Source organism: Homo sapiens, chromosome 18, assembly GCF_000001405.40.
Source record: "Homo sapiens chromosome 18, GRCh38.p14 Primary Assembly".
Taxonomy (NCBI): Eukaryota; Metazoa; Chordata; class Mammalia; order Primates; family Hominidae; genus Homo; species Homo sapiens.
This window is the reverse complement of record NC_000018.10, coordinates 4,196,698-4,223,681: the sequence shown is the minus strand read 5'-3', so window position 1 is coordinate 4,223,681 and position 26,984 is coordinate 4,196,698. Positions and strand designations below refer to the sequence as shown.

Sequence of the window (26,984 nt, the reverse complement as noted above, 5' to 3'; positions counted from 1 at the left end):
TAGCATTCAGAATTATAGTAATGCCTTTACATATCTGGTGACCATTTTAATATCTATTGTTGTTACATAATCTTGAGATTTATTAAAATAAATGATGAAATTCTGCATGACCTCACTAACCACACTTTTCTAACTATGTAAACTAGATTATTTCCTGTAAACAAATGCGATGATACTGTGATCTTTGCACATCTTATTCAAATGTTGTGAGTACCCACTGATACCTCAAAGTGCTATATAAAAGGCTGCAACTATTTTGGTACATAATTGTAGACTAACACACTGAAATACAAGGTTTCAAACATGGATCTGTTCTTGGAATACTTCTTCCATTTGGAAAATATAAGAAACAGTGAACTAGGCCAGTCTCACTCTCTAATAAATTATACATTTTATTCCTGCATAAACATGTTTCAAACTCAGCTGGAGATAAGAAAATGTATTTTTATATGTTTATTAAATATTAATTTAAAGGTCAGCAATATTTATAAAACATCTGTAGGGTATAAAGTATAAAAATGTACTAAATGCTTCACACACCGTTTAAAAAGAAAATAATAACAGTATTTTATTTTATTTTATTTTCTTAGAGAGACAGGGGTCTTGCTATGTTGCTAGTACGATGGTCTTAATCTCCTGGACATAAGTGCTTCTCGTACCTCAGCCTCCAGAGTAGCTGAGACTACATATTTGTACCACCATACCCAGCAAAAATCTTTAATATGTGTTTATCATTTCTTTTATTTCTTTTCTGTTTATGGTCATTCCAATATTTTAACTATGTCCTCTTATTTTCTTTCTACATTTTAACTCCCCCAAATTAGACATTATTATGGTTTTATTCAGTGAGTGCCTGTATCAGTTTACCCACATTTTTGCCACTTTCTTGTCTATCATTATTCTTGCATCTCAGCCTTCCATCTTGTATCATTTTTTTTTTTCTGTCTAAAACATATCTTTTGGAATTCCCTATAGGGAAACACCACTGGCAAAACAAACTCTTCATTTTTTTTAATTTATATTAAAAAGTCCTTAATTCTGCCTTGTTCTTGGAAGATATTTTTACTCAATATACTATTCTAAGTTGATAGTATTTTCTTTTAGTTTTTATATTACTCCACTAACTCCTGACTTCCATTGTTGTTGCTGAAGAATTAGTTGTCTAACTATAGTGAATCACCTGAAAAGCAAACTGCAAATGAGCATATCTTTATCTGCAGTTTTACCCTGATGTACAGAATTGTTAATTGTTTGATTTATCATGCTGGGAATTTTGGTGCCTTGTATATCAGGTACTCCAAGATTCAAAAATGGGCACGGGCTCTGCCTCATGGAGTTTATGAGAGAAGGAAATGAGAGAAAACAAAATAAACACCAGAAACAAGCATGGTTTAGGGCAAATGGTTAAGCATTATGTTTGGGGCATATTGAATATCACTTTAAGGCATGTAAGCAGAGACATAAAGTAGGCAATTGGATATATGTGTCAGAAATTCAGAGAAGTTTGGACTGAAAGCATATGTTTGAACATTATTTAAGTAAAGAAAGAAAATAAAATCATCTGATGAAGCTGTCTAAGAAGAGAATATAGAATGAAAAGAGATGATGTTTTAGGAGAGAAAATTGAGAAACTAATATATTTAATACTCAAGGAAATGGGGAATGAGAAGGACTGAGGGGCAACAACAAGGTTTTGGGAAAAAATCAGGAATATTCGTGTTCAAAGATGCAAGAGATTCTTCTGAAAAGACTGTTTCAAAAAGAAGGTAGTGATCAACTATTTGAAATGCTGCTTAGAGAGATCAGCTAAAGTCACACTGAAAAATCGCCATTTAACTTATTGACATGTAAATGCGAAGAGATAACCCTGAAGTCAGATTTTAAGCAGGTTGAGTAGTAATGGGGAGGGAGAAAATGGAGGCAAAAAGTCATGTACAAGTCAACATAGAGTAAAGTATGAGGCAGTAAAAAATACCTTTAAAATTTCAGCAGGCACACTATTGCAAGGGTTGATTTTGTGCTCAAACTACCGTGTACTGTCAGTCAACTTCACGTCTGCTGATGTCCTGCATCTTCCAGGACCAGGGTGAAGCAGCAGGTGTTATTCTGAGGCATCGTTGGTCTTATGATGGAAGAAAAAGAGAAAGGAGTAGGTGCATGCAATTACTCTAAAAGCTGCTTCTTGGAAGCAGCACACATAACTTTCATATATATTTTATTGATGAGAGAAAGTCACATAACCAAACCTGATGTCAGTGAGGCAGCAATAGAGAGGGAATATTTTAATTAAATATATAATCTGTCATATGTACAGAGAGCTCTTTTGATTATTTTTATTGTAAATGAGGAAAATGGGAAACAAGAAGCCATATAAGTTGAGAGAATTTTTTTAATGGAGATAATTGATAATGTTTAATTATAACAGGCAAGGGATTCAATTGTAAGAAAATTATTGAATATGTGGGAATAAGAGCGGATGGTTGCTATTTTGAGGTTCCCGAAAACATAGGATTCAAGTTACAGTCTTGCATTGCACAGTAACCAGAATACGTTCTGAGAAATGTATTGCCAAGCAAGTTCATTGTTGTGCAAACATCAACAAAAACCTAGATGGTAGAGACTACTATGTACTACATGATATAGCCTATTGCTCATAGGCTACAAACCTGTATAGCATATGACTGTACTGAATACTGTAGGTAATTATAACATAGTGGTAAATATTTGTGTATCTAAACATATCTAAACATAGAAAAAGCACAGTGAAAATATGATATTATAATCTTATAAGACCACTGTCACATATGTGGTCCACTGTTGACCTAAAATATCATTATATATTGCATTGCTGTGTAAGAAGAGGCCCTGGACCTAGATAGAAAGAATTTCTTCCCTGCTCATCAAATAAACATTTTTAAAAAGAGTAAGAGTTCATCTAGATAGATTTGTAGGTTTGTTAGGGAATACTAGATGGAATTTCCATATATATGATGGCTTCTTCTTGTGTGAAGTAGATCATAAGAAATTTACCATGTCAATGGAGAACATTAAGGAATTTGTCCAAGCTTGAGGCAAATGGAAACGTTTTGAAAAAATCACTATGGGAGAAACTAGAGAGAGTGGAAAATAAAAATATAGTCAAATTGCTTATCCGTCCTGAGGGCCATTTGATGTTGTTGATGACAAATTTACAGTGTCGCCATCCACCCTCTTCTGATTTCCCCACCTGTGCTTGCACAAATGGAGGCAAAATAACCCAGTTGAGTTGCACTCATGCACAGTTGGGATTTTGCCAGATGGAAGTGAAGAAATGAGAACAAAGGATACTAAGTTCTTGGCAAGAGTCTTAATGAAATTATGAGCCATAGAATCTAAACTGGAAAAAGAAGGAAAGAGAGATTTAGATTTTATGTACTGTCTTTGTTCACAGATGTAAAGAAATCGATCCCATTCAAAACAGCATACAAAATACTTAGGGGTAAATTTACCCAAGGAGGTGAAATACACTGAAAACTATAGAGCATTGATGAAAAAACTGTAGAGAACACAAATAAATGGAAAGGTATTCTGTGTTCACAGATTAGAAGAATTAGTGTTAAAATGCCCACACTACCCAATGTGATGTACAGATTCAGTGCAATCCCTATCAAAATTCCAATGTCATCTTTCATAGAAACAGAAAAAACAGTCCTAAAATTTATATGGAACCACAAAAGACCTAGAATAGCCAAAACAATCTTGAGCAAAAAGAACAAAGCTGGAGGAATCACACTACCTGACTTCAGAATCTATTACAAAGATGTATTAATCAAAACAGCATAGTCCTGGCATAAAAACAGACACAGTGAACAATAAAACAGGATAGAAACACCAGAAATAAACCCAGCCATTTATAGTCAATTCATTTTTGACAAAGGTACCAAAAACTCACAATAGAGAAGGGACAGCCTCTTCAATGAATAATATTGAGACAACTGAATATCCACAAACAGAAGATTATAATTAGATGCTTAGTTAATACCATACACAAAAATCAACTTAAAAATGGATTAAAGATTAAATAGACTAAAGACATGAAACTATAAAGCAACTAGAAGAACACATAATGGAAATCTCCGTAACATTGGTCTGGGCAGTGATTTTTTAGATATGACCCCAAAAGCACAGGCAACAAAATAAAAAATAAACAAATAGGATTACATCAAACTAAAGAGCTTCTGCAGAGCAAAGGAAACAGTAGTGTGAAGAAACATTGCATGGACTGGGAGAAAATATGTGCCAACCATATATCTGATAAGGGGCTAATATTCAAAATATTTAAGGAACTCAAACAACTCAATGGCAAGAAAACAAATAACCCAGTCCAAAAAAAATGGGCAATGGACCTAAATAGACACTTCTCAAAAGAAGACATACAAATGGCCAACAGATATATGAAAAAATGTTTATTATCCTAATCATTAGAGAAACGCAAATTAAAACCCCAATGAGATATCATCTTATACCTGTAAGAATGGCTATTAACAAAAAGACAAAAGATAACATGTTGACAAGGGTGTGGAGAAAAAGGAACTGTTGATGGGAATTTAAATTATTATAGCCATTATGGAAAACAATTTGGAGACTCCTTAAAAAAAAAAAAAAAAAAAAAAAACAAAGATAGAACTAGCATAAGACCCAGCAATTCCACTTGGTATATATCTAAAAGAAATGAAATAAATATATCAAAGAGATATCTGCACTATCATGCCTATTGCAGCATTATTCACAATAGCTAGGATGTGAATCAACCTAAGTGTCAATCAGTGGGTTAATGGATAAAGAAAATTGTGTGTGTGTGTGTGTGTGTGTGTGTATGTATGTATACACATTTTCTTTATCACTTAAGTATATACACACAACAGACACATAGCCTTAACCTGGAGGATATTATGCTAAGTGAAATAAGCCAGACACAGAAAGACAAATACTGAGTTTTACTTATATGTGGAATCTTAAAAAGTTGAATTCATAGACGTATAGAGTAGAATGATGACTATCAGAAGCTGGGGTGGGACATGAATGAGGAAAAGGAGATGTTGGTCAAAAGGTATAAAATTTAATTTAGATCGGAGGAATAAGCTTTAGTGATCTATTGCACAGAATAGTGACCATAATCAATAATAATGTATTATATATTGCAAAATTGCTAAAAGATTAGGTTTAAATGTTTTCATCACAAAAAAAGATAAGTTATATGAGGTGATGAATTTTCTAATTAGCTCAATTTAATCATTCTACATTGTAAATATATATCAAAATATCACAATATATCACCCCTACAAACATATACAATTACTATTTGTCAACTTAAAAGGTTTAAAAAGGAACAACTACAAAGCTACAATAATTAACACAGCATAGTATTGGTGAAAAGACAGAAAAATAGATCAATACAGCAGAATAGAGAGCCCAGAAATAGACTCATGCAAATGTTGCCAACTGATCCTTGACAAAGAAGCAAAGGCAGTTCAGTGAAGAAAGGACAGACTTTTCAACAAATGGTCCACATGCAAAAAAAAAAAAAAAATTCTAACAGATCTTACACCTTTCACAGAAATTAAATAAAAATAAATCGTAGACAGACATGTAAATTGCATAACTGTAAAACTTCTAGAAGATAACATAAGAGGGAAAAACGTACATGACTTTAGTTTTAGCAATGTGTTTAGATATAATACCAAAAGTACAATTCATGAAAGAAAAAAATTGATAACTTGGATTTTATTAAAATTAAAAACTACTTTCAGAAAAAACCTTTTTATACATCTGTGGTTTTATTGAGGGATCTCCATACTGTTTTCCAAAAGACACAATAAAGATAATAGAAAGACAAGCCACAGACAGGGAGAAAATATTTGCAGAATATGTGTTTGGTAAAGCATTTGTATCCAAAGTACACAAAGAAATCTTAAAACTCAACAATAAGAAAACAACTAACCAAGGAAATGGGAAAAAGGTCTGAACAGACATCTCACCAAAAACAATATACAATCTGAGTCATAGCACCAAACATATATATATATATTATGTGCGTGTGTGTCTGTGTGTGTAGACGGTAAGTAAGCATATGAAAATACACGGAACATCATCTGTCATTAAAGAACTGCAGTACCAAATGCTGGCAAGGATGCAGAGAAACAGGAACTTTCATTCATTGCTGGTGGAAATGTGAAATGGTACAGCCACTTTGGAAAACAGTGTCACTTACAAAATATAACCACATGTACTAGCAATCATATTCCTTGGTATTTATCCAATTCAGTTAAAAACTAATTTCCACACTGTAACCTGAACATGAATATTTATATCAGCATTATTCATATTTGTCAAACCTTAGAAACAACCAAGATATCCTAGGTGAACATTTAAACAAACTGTGGTACAAAAATAGAGTGAAGTATTATTCAATGCTAAAAAGAAATGAGCAGCCAAACCTCAAAAAGATGTGCAGGGACCCTTACATACATACGGCTAAGTGAAAGGAGGCAGCCAGAAAAGGCTGTATACTGCATCTTCTCAAGTATATCACATTCTGGTATAGGTGAAAATACAGGCAGAAAAAAGATCAGTGGTTCCCAGGAGTTCAGAAAGAGGGAGAGACGGACGGATATATGGAACACAGGAGATATTTAGGGCAGTGAAACTATTCAATATGATACTGTAACAATGGATACATAACATTATTGTTTGTCAAAATTCCTTGAACTGTACAACACAAACGGTGAATCCTCATGTAAATTATGGACTTCGGTTAATAATAATATATTAATATTGGCTCATCAATTGCAATAAATGTACCCCACTCATGCAAGATGCTACTAATAGAGGAAACTGAGTGATGTTAGGTTTTATGAGAACTTGCCATACTTTTCATTCAGTTTTTCTGTAAACCCAAAACTGCTCTAAAAATAAGGTCTACCAATTTAAAAGTTCAGTCATAATCTCTTTAATCCTAACTATGAGGGAGTAAGATAGAAGTTGTCTATTCTAAGCCTTCTGTGCTTGTCTTAATAATGGAATCCTACAAAGATAGTACAAGGTAACTCTACGATTCAATCATTGTTGCATTAAGCTAGGATATATTTACTCATGCTTAGCAAAGTGATGTGAATGTGTCTGTACATGTGGTCGTGTATGGCATGTCCATGATTTTTCTAAACATTCAAAATGGTGTTTAAAAAATTTGACTATGAACATGAATGAAAATAAACAGGTAGAAAATTAAAGAGTGTAACATTTAAAATTAGTTGGTAGGTGATATGGTTTGGCTCTGTCACCAGCCAAGTCTCATTGAATTGTAGTTCCCATAATCCCCATGTGTCATGGGAGGGACCTGGTGGGGGGGGGGTAATTTAATCACGAGAGCGGTTACACTCATGCTGTTCTCATGATAGTGACTGAGATCTCACAAGATCTGATGGTCTTCTAAGGGGCTTTTCTCCAGCTTCACTCTGCACTTCTCCTTGTTGCTGCCATGAGAAGGACGTGTTTGCTTCCCCTTGTGCCATGATTGTAAGTTTCCTGAGGCCTCCCAGCCATGCTGAACTGTTAGTCAATTAAACCTCTTTCCTTTATAAATTACCCAGTCTCGGGTATGTCTTTATTAGCAGCGTGAGAATGGACTAATACATTTAGGAGACAGTGAATTTAAAGGATGCAATACATTTTTGTGTTCTAAAATTGCTTCAGGTGTATTCCCTTTTTGTCTATGTCCCTAGTATAATCCTTAACCTTCTTTCAGTGAATTTTCAGTCTGCATCTTCCTACCCAAATGTGTTCCTGCTCCCACTTTTGGCAGGAGAAATGGACCACCAACATCAGGAGGAGATGCACTGCCAGAGATGTGATGTTTTACCTTTGCTATGAAAATTGCATTTCTGCTTGTTTTAAAAACACACCAAGCCATTACTTGAGTTTTAAAAATCTGCCAATATCCTTGGCATAGTAAGGATGCCCCAAATTAATGCTGATTCGCTTTTGGACAGCAAATGAACCCATCTGTTTTAATGAAAGGGGAAAAAAATTTCCCTCTTACTGGCCACATAGAACCAGAAATACTGACTGCAGTATCAGGGAATGGTTACTGTCCTTCCAAGAGTATTTACTTTTAAGGTTCATTTGTTAGATCTATTCGGTGAAAACACAGCATCAAGGCTGACAGAAACCTGGATCATATGAGATACGCCGTTCAAAGAATGAGACTCTGCTCGTCCCCTTAGTTATTTGTTAATATCTTCACTATTTCTCATGAAAATCTTGGAATTTGTGTAAGGCCTGTCTTTAAATATTGACAAAGATAATTGGTAGCAACATAAGTGCTGCATAAAATAGCATTTTGTCATTCATAATTTTATTTTAAGATACTTCGTGGTGATACCTCTGAGTTGATGTATATCTAGATAATTTTTAATTTAAATTAATGCAATAAAAATAATTTATGCAGATGGCATCATTTCAAAATATTTTACCTTATCACTTTCTTGGCTCTATGGTATATAAGATATTGATAATACAAAATTATCTTGCATATTATGAAAAGGGAAACTGGAGCAAAATACAATAAAGTGAGAATAAAGAGAACAAATTTGATACTACAGTAAAATAAATCTCAGCTTTCCCGATAAGTTAACCTGAACTCTTTATCTCTTTCCTTATCTATTTATTGGCCTAAAATGTCGTTCTTTTTATTGTACATTTTCTTATCAGAGGGAAGACACTGGATCAAGAATTGTATTAATATCCTAATAATTAAGGAAAAAATTCTGGTGTTTGTTTTCTTTTGGTGGGATTCTCTTCCTAAATGAACCAGATAATTAATTTTGTTCTCCAGAATAGAAAATTGCCCTGATTAGACTAAGTTCAAATGGAATTCACTGCTAAGGTTAATTAATTCTAGTCCCCTGGCTACATTTATAACTAATGTATCTATATAGTGGTCAACATTTAAAAGATTGCTGTTTGCAATTATGTTAAGGAGGGTGAACTATTTTAATATTGGTTTTCATGTCTGAGAGATAGAAAGATATACAGGGCTTTCCACTGCAAACTGTAAATCAATGCTAAGATTTCCACAGATTGCCTTGGATTAGAAATTTACGTGTGTACCCTCTGCCTCCACCCCAGCTCCAACAGGGTGGGTTTCTTGTGGGCAGGGACCTTGTTTGATTTACCACTGTATCCTCTGTGTGCCTAGCACAATTCCAGGATGAGAGAAACCTTCACTGAGTCTTGCTGAATGAATAGGAAAAATGGGCCACCCTATGAATAAAATCAGAGTTAAACGCAGGGTTTTATACTGAATCCTTTTCCCCCCACCAAAAAAAAAAAATCTGTTTCCTTAACCTGTATCTGTATGCCCTGATCAGTCTGTAATCCACGACTCCGGTTCCCATCTCCTCCTGCCACCTTCCTGTTCCTCAGTTTCCCTCACTTTCTTTTTGTCTTTGATACTCCCTTCTCTTCTGTCTCTTTCTTGTAAGGTTTAGACATGTCTATCTTCAAACAAATAAAGTCCAAAGTCCTCTTTTGACCTTTATCCGTCTTGATGAGTTTCGGCATCTTGGAAGCATTGTCCTCACCTCATGTCTCCACCTTATCTTCTGTAGCGATGACTCCTCAATCTAGGGCACTCTGGTGTCCACTGAAATTTCTCGGGCCACAGTCTCAGGAGACTCTTTGGTGCCAAATCAAGAAGACTTCCTACATGGACTCTGAATCACCTGCTGCCCTCAGCCAGGTCCTCTTTCTTTACCGCTGGCTCCTGGACTTTAACACCACTTACTATGTTAATTTTCCTCCTACTCATCTGAGTATTCTCCATTCTTCTTGTCAGGCTTGTCACTACTTAAATCTTGGAAGCCCAAGACTTGTTCTTGTATTTGTCTTATTACTCTCAGAAAACTTTCCTTGAGATATGGGGGAGGTCCCCATTGTCTTCTGCAGCTATTTGACACTGTTAATGCATATATCTCTATAGCCTCCACTGAAATATCTCCCCTGATCTTCAATGGGTACCATTTCTACTAAAATTTCCCATTGACATTTCTGATATAAAATGTCCAAGTTTGATCTCATTGTGTCCCAAGGTTAAACCTGCTATTCTTCCAGAGTTCTACATCTCTGAGTGGCACCATATCTGCCCAGAGACCCCAGTTAAAGTTTGGAAATAATCTTCTCCTAATTAACTCTCAAGCTAGTGGGTTTTATACTCTTGCTGTCACTCCAATGCATCTACTCCTTTCCATTCTTCCTCCTGACTCGATGTTACTTCAGGGGTCAACTTGGCATCATTTCTTGCCTCAGTTTCTGCCATGCTCCTCCAACTGGTTCCCTCAAATCATTTCCCAAGAGAATCTCCATGTGAAGCTGATCATATCACTTTGCTCCTCCAAACCCTTCAATGGTTCTCTTCGCCCTCAGAGTAAAGATGAAATCCCTTGGTACCAACTCTCATGTTTTTGCCCCAATTTGCTTTGGCATCTGCTTCAAGGAACGGCAGAGACTGTATCTCATTAATCTTTATACCTTCAAAGTCTAATTTCATGCTTTGTACTTAATCCCCAAAACCTGTTTGCTCAATTAATAAGCAAACAAATGAAAGTAATAAGTACTATAATTATGCTTTAATATGTGAGAAAGTACCTTATGAAATGATGTAAATATAATTTATTTGCCACTTTATTATCTGTAGATTGTTGGTACATCTTTAGATGACAGAATCTCTTATTTATGACAAATTTAATTGTTCATATAATAATACCAATTTATCAGGCCTTCCTGAAACATTTTTTGAATGATTAAAATTGGTAAATTATAATAAATATGATTTATGTGATGGGATATTTTTATACTGTGTAAAAATTTATAATCTATGTGACGTATATTGATTCCCAATTAACCAGAATATTTGTATTATGAGGGATATTATGAAAAGTATACCAATTAAGCTATTTAATTTTCATAAAGGACCTATGATGAGGTATCATTATTATCCTTTTTTTTTTTTTTTTGAGATGGAGTCTCCCTCTGTCACCCAGGCTGGAGTGCAGCAGTGCAGTCTCCTGCCTCAGCCTCCCAAGTAGCTGGGATTACAGGCACGCACCACCACACCTGGATTTTTTTTTTTTTTTTAACTTTAGTAGAGACATGGTTTCACCATGTTGGCCAGGCTGCTCTCAAACTCTTGACCTCAAGTGATCCACCCACCTCAGCCTCCCAAATTGCTGAGATTACAGGTGTGAGCCAGTGCGCCCTTTTAAAAATTAAATCACCTTATTTCCTTTTCCTGCATTTCCAGATTACTAGCAGAATCTGTCAGTTTGGGAATAAGCGACATATATGGTATGTTTTAAGGACTAGATAGCTCTGGCAGTACCTATAGTCCAGCAGGACTCATCTCAAAGTCATTGAGTTTGATGACATTTGGAGTTCAGTGTCCTTTGCCCTGCCTGTCAGTGCTATGCATTGGGCAACAACCTGCCTGCCTTCCTTCCTGTCACAGAGTTAAGTAATGTACAATTTGACCTGTGTAGATTCTAAAACTGCAGGAAAAATGTATTTCTATTGGGAATACCTGTTTCTGCAAAAAGAAACTGTATGTATGAAGTGTGGTAAATGCATACATTTTCAAAAACGCATACAAAACACAGACATGTTTGTATTTTTAAAAAGTTTCTTGGGACTGCTGAACATATGAAAAGCTGCTTGCATTCTCTCCTGAATTTGGCAAACAAGCTGCAAAAGAATGGTCAAAAAAAGGAGAAGGGGTGAAGAATGAAGCTAAAATCTAATTCAGAAAATCTTCATTACTACAGTGACTTTTGTTGACATCACAAGAATAGCACCTGTCACTTGCCTGTAGTGATTCATTCATTTTACATAGGGGTGTACTGCTTTATCCTTGTCTCGAGAGACTAAGGAAAATGCTGACCATTGTTTCTCTGTGGAAGCTAATTGAGTGATTGCTGATCTTTCTGGGTGAAATGCAGGGAATCATGACTCACCATCAAACCCTTTCATTAGGATCTGTGCTCATATGTACTCGTCTTATTGGAGAGTCCCTAGGATATTCCACTGAGGAAACATTTAAAGGCAGAGGTCTCACTGGGCTCTAATACAACATCAATTGGTATCACTCTCTGTCATTTGGAAAGATTAGGTCTAATGCCTTCCAGATTCAAACTAAGGACCTACCAAAAATGGTAATTAAACAATCTCCCTTGATAACCCTTTCTAACATTTACTAATGAAAAGAGTTCATACATATTCAGCCCAAGTCAGTAACACTATCATGTTGGTCCATCATTTTTCTTCTGTACTTAGGCGTTATGAAGAACAGGTGTTTATCATTCTCTACAAGCTGCTCGTGATTCATGCCATTAGTAACTCAACCCTCAACATAAAACCCCCCAGCCATCTGCAGATTCATTGTCATCACAGGCCTGGAAATCTGTTAGTTCTGTAGGTTTGCTGTGATCTTAATGCGGTAAACCAGGTGGCTACATTGTGCAGTGTGGACCCATCTCATTCTCGAGCTTCAGAACTCAGGTTGAGAAAACTAGTTTCTACCTTTAACTTCAAAAAGGTAGTATAAGTAGATAAAGCTACATTGTTCTCTTTGAATTTTATTCTTCAAACTTATGGGTAATTATTTTGCCTCTTTAGAGCTAATGCTGTGAACCCTGACCTCAAGGTCAGGAGACAGGAATTTTAGTCCTAGCTCACCGACCTGCACAATGTCACTGAACCTCTCCTGGGCTTCAGCTTCCTTACATGTAAACGAAAGGGTTAAACTAGATGAGACGTTCTCTTTACACATCAGTATTGTCTGAAGAGTTGTAATAGATCTTTAGTCTCCATCCAGACATAATACAGTCTTCTGGGATTGGAATCAGGAATCTTCTAAATTTTGGTTTTTATATAGCTGTTCTCTATCTGGAAGCCACTGCTGCAGATAAACTTTATGTTCACTCCATCCCTGCCATTTCTATTCTCCGAGAGGCCATCGTCCTCTTTCATCTGCAGAGTTTTCCATTCCTCTTGCTCATTTTCCCCAGAGACATCATGTATATAGTAAATATTGAATCAATCAAGGCAGTAAGAATCATGTGAAAAAGTCTGTTCCACTGGAATCGTCTTTTCCTTTTCCTAGCTCAGCATAAATGAGGCATTAATGATAACTCTTGAGTCTACTTTTCCGATCAGTAGTGTCCCAATCAACAAAAAGATATCCAAGACTCTCTATGAGCTGAGTACATTTCCACCTTCATCTCCCATCACTCTCTGTTTAGAACTTAATATTTCTGATTATTATATAATGCCTCTTCCATTCATGTATTCATTCATTTATTCATCAGATACTACACAACACCTTTTAATGACCATACTCTTGATAGGGGAGTGAATTTGATAGTGAATATAACTGGTGCCACCCTTCAGGGAGCTAACAGGCCAGGGAAGGACTCAGACAATGAATTGACTTTTTAAAATTACAATTCATGAGAGAGGACGTGGAGCATTCCATGGGAACAAATGGAAGGTGTAATTCACCCATTCTGTGTGGTTAGGGGAAGTTTCTAAGGATGTGAATTTTAAACCCAAACAGAACTGCTAAAGATAATTTAAGCTGAATTAGGGCATGTTCAAGTCCCATGAAAAACCATATAATGGCTCAGGAAGAGAAGTATTATTGGAGTAGAGTGGAAGTCAGATTGCAATGAACGAAGGAGTAGGCGGCAGGCCAGGAAATACAGATATTGAATATTTTGTGTCCTTGCTTTGGCTTTTCTATTATTTCTGCTATGCCTTATCTTCCAAGAGGGCAAGAACTGTGTCTTTCTTATACACTATTATATTCACTCCACCTAACATAGATCTTGGCACCAATTTGTACCCCCCAAAATTTTGTATGATGAATTAACCTTTATAAATGATAGTTAAAATTCAAACACGTATTAAGTAATGTAGTATCCTGCTTTATAGTATATTTGTTTATACATGTTCTTGTTCCCCTCAAAAGGATTTACATTTGATATAAACAAATTAAATATATTTAAATATGAGGCCTATGATCTCCTTTAATTTTACTAAATTAAAACAGGAGAGTATATACCTCAAATGCGTGATAGCTGTATCCGTTTCAATGACTCAAACAATAAGTTGAAAGACTTATTAAAATGAGTATTTTGAAACACTAATCAAGGTAAATCTGCTTATCAGATATTCAGGATTGAAAGAGCAGGCTTTGACTCGTACATATATAACTTGCTACTGTCCATTAAGTGAAAATGGTGTTTCTCTTTATGGCCCTTTTGTCTTCTGGAAAGAGTAACTTCAGTTTGTCTCTTTTGGCCTCTTTGCATGGCTCCAGTTCAGTCTTCCTGGCAGCTCTCAGGCTGCCTGGTGGAGAATCACCACCGCCATAACCCCAATCCTTGCTTCTCCAGCACCACAGTGAAAGGAGTCTCAGGTCCCCTGCCTTCTGTTGCTGGTAGATGTAGAAGCTACATTATTCCCACATGAGCCTCACCCTCAGCACCATCAGTTGACTCTTAAGGAGTCACCCTCCCTCCCTTCTTTTTAATGAAGGGAGCAGCTTTCCACCCGGCCTCACCTGAGGACAGTTACCGTTATTTACTTCTTTTCCCACTACTTGAAAATTTAATTGCCACTGACAGTGGTTGTGGTCACGTGGGAGCTCTCTCTGCTTTCTGCAGGTAATGAGTTCTCTGCCTATTATAGCTGCCATTTTGTCTTCCATTTGAGTGCATGTCTAGGTAGTTAAATAGTTGGCTTGTTCCCACAGCTCTCATTCATTCTCTCTCTCTCCACCCCCCCAACCTCTCCTTCTCCCTTTTCCTCTCTCCCTCTCTCTTTCTCCCTCTCCCTCTGTTCTTTCTCTTTCTCTCTCTCTTTTTCTCTCTGTCACCCTCTTGGTGTTGGTGAGAGAGGGAGCATCTTAAATACTTTGAGTCAAAAGCTGGTGAAAATAAAAATTTATTTCTTGGCTCAAGACCCATTTAGCCATCTTTCCCTATTGCGAAACTCCCAAACTACAGTCAGCATCTTCCCACTCTCATTGTTCCATTCACTCTAAATTTCAACAACATATGTTACTGGCATAATGGAAATAGATCAAAATGAGTTCCCAACTCCACCTATGGCTCAGACTCCAGCATTAAATTAGTCAAGTCATTGGGCTTTGCATTGGTTCAAAGAGTGTTTTAATGTGTGTAAAAGAAAAACAGATCATAATTACATTTGCTGTTTCCTATTATTTCATGCAAATTTATGGTATTTCAAGTATATTGTGTATCAAATTTGCTTTTATGAGCTGGTCTGGAAACAATTACAATTTATAATATTTTTTCTATGGAAATTATTTTAGATGTTCCAAACACAAAATTTACAAGTGAACTTCCAAAACACAACCTGCTCCTAAGGTGGAGGCAGCCTGTACAGGAGATCTTAATGGCAGAGATTTTATGTTTTATTTCCTCTCTGATTGTTGTATCAAGAATAGAGCAATTTTCATTTTTAAACTTAATTGTGTAGAAATTTTCTCCGTGCAGCTGTACTTTCACTGAAAGTGAAAAATATTATACAGATGAGGATTCTTAGGGTGAGGTAACATTGTAAGTATTTGAACTAAAATGGACACCTGGTATCATTTAGAAGAAGTAACAGGTTCATTATTTCAAAAAAATGCGGATGATTTCTAGTAGATAATACAATATGAGGCATTTATTCTGCTCCACACACATAAATGATTTTTTAATAGGGGAAAAAAGAAAGCTTAAAAGACAGACCTAGAATTCAAACCAAGATAAACACATTCCTGGACAGAAATACAAATCTGGGATTTGGGTCCCCAAACAGGCAGTGGTGGATAGCAGTTTGGCTCTTTGGTGGTTAGCTGGACTAAAAGCAGCTCATGTGGAGAAGCGGGTGGATCCAGAGGCAGATCTGTGTTTGGCCTCTCCCAAGGCTGCAGAAGCTGCTCCCAAACCCTCCCAGAAGTCAAGATACCTGTGAAGCTACATGAATAGGGGGCCAAGCTGAGCCACACCGCAGGTGGGCTTGTGACTACCTCAGATGGTAAATTCCGTTGAAGCCTTTGGGATTCAAATTAGATGTTATCTTCTTTGCGGTCTGCATTCTTGCCTCTTAATATGGTTTTTCTGTGTCCCCACCCAAATCGCATCTTGAATTGTAGTTCCGGTAATCCCCAGGTGTCATGGGAGAGACCAGGTGGAGATAATTGAATCATGGGGACATTTTCCCTCATCCTGTTCTTGTGGTAGTAAGTACTCACAAGAGCTAATGGTTTTATAAGGGGCTTCCCCCTCTGCTTGGCTGTCATTCTTCTTCTCCCTGCCACCATGTGAGGGATGTGTTTGCTTCACCTTTCGCCATTGTTGTAAGTTCCCTGAGGCCTCCACAGCCATGCTGACCTGTGAGTCAATTAAACCTCTTTCCTTTATAAATTACCCAGTCTCAGGTATGTCTTTATTAGCAGCGTGAGAACAGACTAATACACCTCCTTTTCTTCTATGATGATGGAAGAGTGGTCTTTCCTCCACCTCAGTGCTTACCCACCATCTGCAATTGGATCCCATCGCCTCCAGCTTCTTATGAGACTTACCAACAATCCTTTCTCTTCTGTAACTTCAATGTCTTGGTCTTTACTATCTCTTTTACATTAATATTTAAACATATTCAATTGCTCCCCATCCTAAAGAAATTCTCTCAGCTTCATGTCTTCCTCCATCATTAATCTGTTGTATTGCATGCCTTTTGTGACTTCATTTTTGCAAACCAGGGAATGAATGGGGATGGCTTTCTGTGAAACAAGCAGGAAATTGATGGAGATGAATGAAGGTAACAGAATTTAGAAGTGGAGGGTACCTCTATTTTCTTTGTGATGTGGAAGACTTAGTCAAAAGTGAAAGAGAGGTGAAGGGGCATAAAGAAGGAGGAAATAGAACACTATGGCTTTTAACTGTCGTATGCAAGGAATTCCCTTATCTGACAGTAGGCAGAGCCATGCATGCTGATGTGGGCCCTCTCCAAACTAGTGTAAAGACTGGAAGACACGGTTTCTTTATCCTGGCCTGAGGAGTTTTCCCTCCCATGGGCATCACTGACCCTCAGATCTTGGAACTAGGGTGACATCAGGGAAGAGCAGCCACTTCCCGGTGCCCTCAGCTGGCATAGTTCCTTTGCACTGCTTGTTTGCAGGTTTGGTAGCAAAATGGAGTGAAAAAGCCTTAAACCCAGACTCAGTCATTTTTGCAAACTTCAACCTCAACTCTCCTTTCTTGTTTAACCTAGCTTAAAAACTTCCGGAATCATGAGAAACTCACAATGCTTGTTTGGGGCAGTTGAGAAAGGAAGTGGATTGTAAAGGAAAAGGACTGGAAATTACTTTTGAGACCTATTCACTTAAAGCTCCTCTTTAAGTCCCTAAGTCCCAGGCACCTCCAACCCAACAGGTCAAAAAATAAACTAATCTCCTTTCTCCAGTCCACTATAATTTCCTCTAGTGTCTTCCCGTCAAAGTGTTACCATCCACCCAGGCATCTATACCAGATACTTAGCAAAGCCCTCTCAGTTCTATCCCTGGAAATCTTCTGAAATAGGCAACTCTCTCCACCTCCCCATAGTTAAAGTTTCAGGTGAATCGCTAAACAGTTTCCTTCTCACCGGCCCTCTACCCCCACGCCCATCCTTCACACTACATGAGTTACTTCTTTCATCAAGCACAGTTTTCATCAAGTCAATCTCTTACTTTACAATTAGCGATTGTATGTGGCTTCTCCTTATTTAAGCAGCACTGTCTATTAGTATTTGGGGTGAAATGGAAACATTCTCTGTGTTATCCATTATGATAGCCATGAGTCACATGTGGCTATTGAGCACTTGAAATGTGGCTAGTGCCTCTGAGGAACTGAATTGGTGTATTTATTTTTCATTGACATTTAAGGCTGGGCATGGTGGCTCATGCCTATAATCCCAGCAGTTTGGGAGGCTAAGGCCAGAGGATCACTGAAGCCCAGGAATTTGACTTTACTGTGAACTGTGATCACACCACTGCATGCTGGCCTGCGTGACAGAATGAGACCCTGTCTCAAAAAGAGAAAGGAAAGAAAGAAATGTAAATGGCCACAGGTAGATAGTGGCTATCATATCAGATAGTGCAGGTCCAAAGGATACAATCTACAATCATTGGCATAACCTGCAAGATCCTTCACAGACCAACCATAGCTTCTCATCGCCCCCTCCTATCCCATCCACTTAGTGCCATATGCCGTAGACACACACCACCATGGCACCCCTTCAGATCTCCTAAAGGACCACTTGTTCTCACCTACTGTGTATGTGTGCTGGTTTGTATGTGGTTTTTTCTGATACTACTCTTTCTCCTCTTAACCTCCCGAGAACATCTACAAATCCTGAAAGGCCATGTTCACATGTGACTTCTGAAAAGCTTCCTATTACCTCCTCAGGCATCTGTCAACATGCTTTTCAGGGTTCCCACAGCAACTTGTATATTCTGCACTGAAGCACTGAAAGTACTCCCTGGTAATTATTTGTTTTCTTGTCTGTTATCTTTAATCTTAATTTTCCCCTTAAGCAATCAGTTAGAAAGCAGATTTCAAAATTATTATGTATGATGGATAGTTAATATGTTGGGGGGAAGAAGAGTCAAGCCAAAGTTCAAATGGATTATGAAAGAAAACAAACCACAAAAAAAAAAAAAAATTGGGAAAAGGCTCACCTCAGTTACCACCACTGAATACTTCCGTGCATATAAGTCTTTTGAGGGAACTTAAGGAAAGGAATTGACTTTGACCTTCATGGAACATCCAACATGTCCCTTTACAATTCTAAACTGAATTTTTTTTACCTCTTACTTCATCTACATTTCAAATGTATTCCTGTTTGATGTCAAACCTCTTAAAACTAATTAAGTAATAGATTTTTCAATTGAGCACACCATATATCTTTCAAGGTTAAGCAAGAATAAAACACTTTGCCTGGATTTTCCACTGTGAAATTGATGGTGAGGAGGGAGGGTGTTTTTAATGTGATGCACTGCGGTCAGAAAAAAAAACAAAAACAAAAAAAAAACCACAACAGTCCTGTCAGTTAAAACTGCTAGATACAGCCATCCTTATGAATGTTTTATAATCATTGTAAAAGATCAAAGTGAATTAATGATATTTTTGAAATTTCCTGAGAAAATGACTTCCTGCCCATTGAGTTGTCTTGGCAAGATTCCCACCTTTTGAGCTTACTGGAGAATGAAAAGAATAACAACCTTCTTGTCCTGATTTTATGGAAAGCGAAGCAATCTGCTGTGTTTTTGAGGCTGCTGTTAGTACCATTTTTTAAAAAGAAGATTATCTTAAAAGAGTTTGCTCCTTAGTACCTATTCAAACTCTTCTAGTTTTATTGACACTATTATGTACAGACAGTTGAAAGAATTATGGCGATTAAGCCGAGTTAAATATTATAGAAGATGAATGCATAATGACTGGGTTTCTGTTACTTCCTATTTTCACAATGAAGAGTTTTGTAGTCAACCAGATTTAAAATTATGGACCATGTGTTATTTGACAGTCAAATCTAGAAGCATGGTAAATCCTAAGCTTCTTGTGTTTGCGGAGATGCTACCAGGAAAGCATTTTGAAAAACAGCTGAAGCATTAATTCAGTGCCTCCTCTTCTGAGTTCTTTCTGACCTCCTCGGGCTGAGTAGGAAGCTGCTCTTCTGTGCCTCAAAGCACCCTGTGTTCATATACATTTATTACTGAACTTACTGAGTTGTGCTGTAATTAGATGTGTATATTTCTGCATTTCCACTGACCTATGAACTTCCAAAGCCAAGTACCATGTTGTATTAGTCATCATTGTGTTCCCCTGAGCCTAGCATGTTACCATGAACCAGAGAGGCCCTCAGGAAATGTTTCAGGGAGGGAGAAAAGGAAGAAAGAGTGGTTGTTTTCTGGGCCTGACTGAGTCAGAGCATGTTCTCAGGAAGTTTTATGAGATCTAAAAGCTTAAATGCCCCTACGTTTTAAGATACCTTAAAGCTAAAACATGTGTCAAAGTAGAAGCCCAAATAAAAGCTCATGGCAAACAAAATTGTGTTTTTAAAAGATTAATTGATATCTGCTTCTATATTAAAGATTTGAAAAATGGAACTCGATTCTACCCGTTCTTAAAATATTTCCTCATGACAAATGTGGGCCCTTAGAAAATATTTAATGAATATTTCAAGGATGCATTCTTGCAACTAGAGAGTATTTTATACTATATTTATGCTTTAAAATAACACACTTTTATAAGAGTATCTTTTTTTTTTTTTTTTTAATCTCTCTGTTGCCCAGGCTGGAGTGCAGTGGCGCGATCTCATCTCACTGCAACCTCCGCCTCCCGGGTTCAAGCAAGTCTCCTGCCTCAGCCTCTCAAGTAGCTGGGACTACAGGCACCCGCCACCACGCCCAGCTAATTTTTTGTATTTTTAGTAGAGACAGGTTTCATCATGATGGCCAGGCTGGTCTCGAACTCCTGACCTTAGATATCTGCCCACCTCTGCCTCCCAAAGTGCTAGGATTACAGGCATGAGCCATGGCACCTGGCCAAGAGTATCATATTTTAATCAGGTGATTTAAGGACTAATTCAGAGAGAAAATCTGCCTGTGTTTATCTGTACTTCCTAGAATGTAACATGATTTAAATTATCATTTTACTGTCAAAAGATATTTATTTAGTGTAGAATGTTTATTTTGGAATAATATAGGATAAAACTTTCTAGTCAGAAGTGGTAAAATCTTATTGTAAAACCACTCCTGTCTTCCTTCTGCCAGAAAAAGAGTAAAATTATAAAATACCATGAATTTTGTTAAACATTCCTGAATCCATGTAGATTGAAAAAACTGAGAGTGAATAGTTGCTGACATTAGTGTAATGTTGCATCTTTTACTTTTCATTAATATCAAGTACAAAATCCATACTTGATTTTTTTCTTTTAAATGTTTAGAAATATTCCTGGCTTGCCATAATGTGTTGGTTTTATCACTGTTGATTTCAACTAGCTTTGATCTTTCTATTGGATATAGTCTATCTTTCTAATCAAAACATTTTTATTTCAATAGTTTTAGGGGTACAAGGGGTTTTGGGTTACTTGAATGAATTGAATAGTGGTGAAGTCTGGCCATTTACCCATTATGCAAGTAGTGTACATTGTACCCAACAGGTAATTTTGGAATCTCCCTTCCTCATTCTGAGGCTCCAGTGTCCATTATACCACTATGTATTCCTCTTTGTACCCATAGTTTAGCTCACACCTATAAGTGAGAACATACAGTATTTGTTTTTCCATTCCTGAGTTACTTCACTTAGGAAAATGGACTCCAGTTTTATCCAAGTTCCTGCAAAAAACATTCTTTTATTCTTTTTATGGCTGAATAGTATCCTATGGTGTGTGTGTGTGTGCGTATGTATACACACACACACGCACACACCACAGTTTCTATATCTACTAATCACTTAATGGGCACTTCGGTTGATTTCATATTTTTGCAATTATGAATTATGCTGCAATAAACATAAAAGCTCAGGGGTCTCTGACATAATGACTTATTTTCCTTTGAGTAGATACTCAGTAGTGGAGTTGCTGGATCAAATGGTAGATCTACTTTCCGTTTTTTGAGAAATCTTTTATACTGTTTTCCTTAGAGGTTGTACTAATTTACATTCCCCTAATAGTATATAACTGTTCGCTTTTCATTGCATCCATGCCAACATCTATTGGTTTTTGACTTTTTAATAATGGCCATTTTGACTGGGGTAAAGTGGTATCTCATTGTGACTTTAATTTGGATTTTCCTGATGGTTAGTGATGTTGAGCATGTTTTCATATGTTTTTTGGCCATTTGTATAATCTTCTTTTGAGAAATGTCTGTTCACATCTTTTCCATAGTTTTTAATGGTATTCTTTGTTTTTTTTCTTGGTGATTTGTTTGAAAGCCCAAGTAGCCAAAGCAATCCTAAGCAAAAAGAACAAAGTTGGAGGTATCCCATTACCCAACTTCAAATTATATTACAAGGATATAGTTACCAAAACAGTGTGGTGCAGGTACAAAAATAGACACACAGACCAATGGAACAGAATAGAGAACCCAGAAATAAAGCCAAATACCTACAACCAACTGATCTTCAACAAAGCTGAAAAAATCATACATTGGGGAAAGGACCCCCTATTCAATAAACGGTGCTGGAAAAATTGGATAGCCACATGTGGAAGAATAAAACTGCATCCCTATTTCTCAACATATACAAAACTAACTGAAGATGGATTAAAGACCTAAAATCATAAAAACTTCTGGAGGAAAAACTCTTCTGGACATTGGCCTAGGCAAAGAATTTGTGAGTAAATCCCAAAAGCAAATGCCTCAAAAGCAAGAATAAATAAACGGGACTGAACTAAACTAAAAAGCTTCTGAACAACAAAAAAAAGTCGTCAACAGAAAGACAACCTATAGAATGGAAGAAGGTATTTGCAAAGCATACATCTGACAAGGGACTAATATCTAGAATCTAATCAAATTTTACCTAAAGTCTAGTGGAGGAGTTGAGCAGAGCAGATTCTCATTACAATGTTGTGAAGTTGTGGAAATAAAACTGAAGTTACTCTGATAATTTGTCGAAGGCCTACAAGATCCCTATATTTCCCACCTCTGAAATAAATCCTTTATGTCAGATAAACGGAAATGTAGTTTACAAGATGTAACATCACTATAAGGATTGTGACCAAATATTTACATGTAGAAATTAAGGACAAGAATTGCCCTAGTTTTAGCATATACTAAATTTAGTCAATTATAATTCAACTGTGAAGTATTGGTGGCATTTGTCTTAAAATAAATGTATGATAATGGTGCTTAGTATCACCCTAATTATTTAACATTGTTTTGAAAGTTCTGGCCATTGTAGTAAAAAATTTTAATATTTTCACAATATTTTTTTTAATATTTTAAAGTATTAAATATTTAATATTTATTCCTCTAAATATTAGGTATAAATATTAGGAACAGCAAAATATGTCCTTCTTTGTGAGTGATGTTACATATCTTATAAATCAAAAGGGATCAACTAAATTGTAATTAATAAGATGTTGGTAACTTGACAAGGTAGAATATTATAAATAAGCAATTGTAATTTTGTGAACATTCTTTTAGAAAATAAAATAGAAAATAATTTTATTTATGGTGGCAAAAGTATATAAAAATCTGGTAATCATTTTAGTAAGACTTACAAAGAATCTATGTGAATAACTGAAATTATGAGGGCATATTTCTGAAAGAGTGGTACATAGTATAGATATTTTAATTCTGTATAATTTGACAGATTTGTTAAAATCCTAATAAAAATTTCAAAAACATCTTTACAAATATCTCCAAATTACATTAGAAATATTGAGGAGGAAATATTATACAAACATACGAATACTGAATACTACTCAGAAAATACTTGGAATCCAATTGTAGCAGACTAGACACAAGATAAAAAACTGTGTATACATACAATAACAATGTAAAATATGGCTATGAAACAGACTGGAAGGAAATACATCCATAATACTAAGAGTTCTATTTGGATGATGAGACCATGATTTCATAATTTTGACAGTGAAAAATACATTGAAATGTAGGACATTTTGAAGGACACAGTTATTTATCTGGGGAGCCAAACTATCACTATGCTGCTCAATTTTCTGTAAAGCTCTTGGGGGAATTGTTTTCAACCATAAGGAGACCCTTACATTCTTTTTATAACATCAAGAATGCCAACATTTTCAGGAAGGAAAACTGCCTCTAAGAATTAAGCAAAACACCTTGCATTCTTCTTATCTCTTCCATGGTCCTAAAGCTAACCCATTAAAGTAATTTCCCCATCACATAGTTTTCCAAAAATGCTTAATTTCTAAAGGCGGATCCAGAAGTCAGAGTCTCCCTGTAGATGTGGCTGTTATATTAAGGCAGTGGGTAAATGGGAGAACAGTTTCCCCAGTTCACATATGCCAGAAGATATTAACATGGATGACAACCTCTCATTGGCATGACCAGGATTATTCACAGTTATCTTAATTCACCAAATCTGACATCCATGGTAAAATACACACTATGTACCAATGAGTCAGAATACAAAAATGTTTCCAATTAAACGATGACATGTTGTTGATTATAAGTATTCTTCATAGTGTTGAAATGTTTTTAAAGGCATACTAAAATTAATGAAAACGTTGATATAATATGCTTGCAATCACTCTTTCTTTACGCCACGCTGGAGAAGATGTCTGAAGGCAAGCAAGAAGACAGAGATGTTTACAACCAGCATGAGTGGGAGGCCCACCCTCCTCCAGGACAGAAGGTCCAGGCAGGATCAGCAGTGCTTCTCTGCTGGCTCCCCGAGCAGCTTGCACACAGCCTCAGGCTGATGTTCCGCTCTTTTCCAATTTCACACTTGCAAATGCTCCTCTCATTATTCATTGCCAATAAAAAGTAGAGTAGGTGAGGGGTAGGGCTCCTTCTTGTAAAACCACACAAGGTTCCAGCTGCAGCTCCATTTTGACTGATGAGCACTTGCAGCAGAGCAGCCTCTTGCTGGCCCTCCACCCACTACAATGCACACCTCTCACTACGATGCCTGCTTTTCTTTTGAGCCACAGAGGTTGTGGCATTTGCCTCCCACTGCAATGCAAGTTAATAAGAATGACATTGTTAAAAGGATTATAGTGACTCTACCTTAATTAATTTTAAATATATTCTCCAAAAACTGCAGAATGTAATACATCATTTGATATGCACCTACAAGGAATATGAGGAGAAAGATGAATTGTACCTTGAGGCCAATCTCTTATCCTTATTCTTGTTAAATTTCTGGCAGATTAAATGATGTTAAAGATAAAATTTTGAAAACTGCAATTTACTGACATTCTTGCCAACTCATTCATCCTATCAAATATATGGGTTTCATTTTCGAGATTAAAAAGTTTCCATAATATTATCGATGACCATCCTAAACTATTTTTAAAGGATTAGAAAGGGTGACAACTGTCTGATGCGTTAAATGTGCATTATTCAAATATGTTCTCAATAATATCTATTAATTGTTTCGTGGACCCATTACAGTACCTAAATGAAGAAAAAGAAACACAAGTTATCATGGCCTTTGGGGACAGAGCTCATTGCTTTCATTGACAAAACCCTTATTTGAGATCCTCTTGGGTTCTGGCTTCTTCCACAGATGGGAGATAAATCTCAAATAGGCCATGACCATCTCTTAGAAATCCAATGATAGGTGTTTTTATTATTGTTATTATTTATTTCATTTATTTATTTATTTATTTTTTGAGACAGAGTCTCACTCTGTCGCCCAGGCTGGAGTGCAGTGGCACGATCTCGGCTCACTGCAAACTCCACCTTCTGGATTCACGCCATTCTGCCTCAGCCTCCAGAGTAGCTGGGAGTACAGGCGCCCACCACCACGCCCCGGCTGATTTTTTGTATTTTTTTAGTAGAGACGGGGTTTCACTGGGTTAGCCAGGATGGTCTTGATCTCCTGATCTCGTGATCCGCCCGCCTCAGCCTCCCAAAGTGCTGGGATTACAGGCGTGAGCCACCGCGCCTGGCCACAAGAATAGGTTTAAACATCTTTTTCCACAAAACTTTTCAGCTTCCCATGTATGGTATTGTGGCAACTATGAGGGCCCTGGGAAATAAGTGCTGGATGCCCACTCTTCTCATTCAATAATTTCTCCCTACTTCATCTCTAACATTCACGGGGTTTTAGCTGACACCTGCAGATAAATGATTCCTAAAGGTTTGCATCCTAACCTCTTTTGGAAATTCCAGCCTAGATATTCTGTGGGCAGCTTGTCTGGAGTGGCACCCATCATCCCGCTCCATACCTGTCCCTACTCTCTTTTGTATCCCATTAAAACATTACTGTCTTCTCAGTAGTCCAGGCTAGAAGCATTTGGAACTTCTTTAAATTTGTCTTCTCTCTTGTCCCCCTTGTCAAATCCTATCAATCTGGTCATGCTCTGCCACTTCACAATGCCACCATTGTTATCTTCCTCCAATACAGACTTGATCGTCACTCCCCTAACACTGCCAGACACTCACATCTAAACTCTTTTGTCTACCATTCTAGATGCTCTGTATTTTGAAATCAACCAATTTTTGCTAAATTTATGCCCTATATACTACCCACCCCAGGGCATTGTACTCCAGTTTACCAACATGCCTTCTTCTCGATCAGATTCTTTATATTTCCTATCTCTGTACTTTTTTCTATATTTGAATAGTTCTCATTTGGGAAGCCTTTCTCTGGAAGGGTTGCTGCCTCTTTCTTTTTTTTTCTTTTTTTTTTTTTTTTTTTTACTTTTTTTTAAATTTGAGACAGAGTTTCGCTCCTGTCCCCAGGCTGGAGTGCAATGGCACGATCTCAGCTCACTGCAACCTCTGCCTCCCAGGTTCAAGCAATTCTCCTGCCTCAGCCTCCCAAGTAGCTGGAATTACAGGCGCCCACCACCACACTGAACTGATTTTTGTATTTTAAATAGAGGTGGGGTTTCACCACATTGGCCAGGCTGGTCTCAAACTCCTGACCTCTGGTGATCCACCCACCTCGGCCTCCCAAAGTGCTGGGATTATAGGCGTGAGCCACTCCACCCAGCCTCTTTTATTTTTATTTTTCTAATTTTCTTTTAATATTTATTTAATTGTGCTTCTCTTTGTGAAAAGTTTTAAGATGTGTCACAAAAATGTGTACATATACAACACTCTGTAATTAAATGAGATAGAAGTGAGAAAAATGAAATAAATGTATACACATAACAAAGCCAGAAATAAGGTTACTTAAAAGAAAGAA

General features: G+C 36.9%; 1 protein-coding gene across 11 annotated transcripts in view, besides 3 other annotated features; it reads left to right on the top strand.

Annotated features, from left to right (window-relative positions):
* Positions 1-26,984, top strand: part of DLGAP1 (DLG associated protein 1) — a 959,276-nt gene that overhangs the window by 231,626 nt on the left and 700,666 nt on the right. The gene's annotated exons all lie outside the window — the stretch shown is intronic.
* Positions 183-352: an enhancer, noted in NCBI's record as "experimental_47879 CRE fragment used in MPRA reporter constructs". NCBI's record gives its function as "activates a minimal promoter by MPRAs in K562 erythroleukemia cells, with activity observed for the non-introgressed 18:4223415 variant allele {active_cell/tissue: K562}" and the evidence as "EXISTENCE:reporter gene assay evidence [ECO:0000049][PMID:34662402]".
* Positions 17,482-17,651: an enhancer, noted in NCBI's record as "experimental_47861 CRE fragment used in MPRA reporter constructs". NCBI's record gives its function as "activates a minimal promoter by MPRAs in K562 erythroleukemia cells, with activity observed for the introgressed 18:4206116 or rs145932302 variant allele {active_cell/tissue: K562}" and the evidence as "EXISTENCE:reporter gene assay evidence [ECO:0000049][PMID:34662402]".
* Position 17,566: a transcriptional cis regulatory region, noted in NCBI's record as "Neanderthal adaptively introgressed variant 18:4206116 (GRCh37/hg19 assembly coordinates) or rs145932302 in the experimental_47861 CRE". NCBI's record gives its function as "modulates activity of the experimental_47861 enhancer by MPRAs in K562 erythroleukemia cells {active_cell/tissue: K562}" and the evidence as "EXISTENCE:reporter gene assay evidence [ECO:0000049][PMID:34662402]".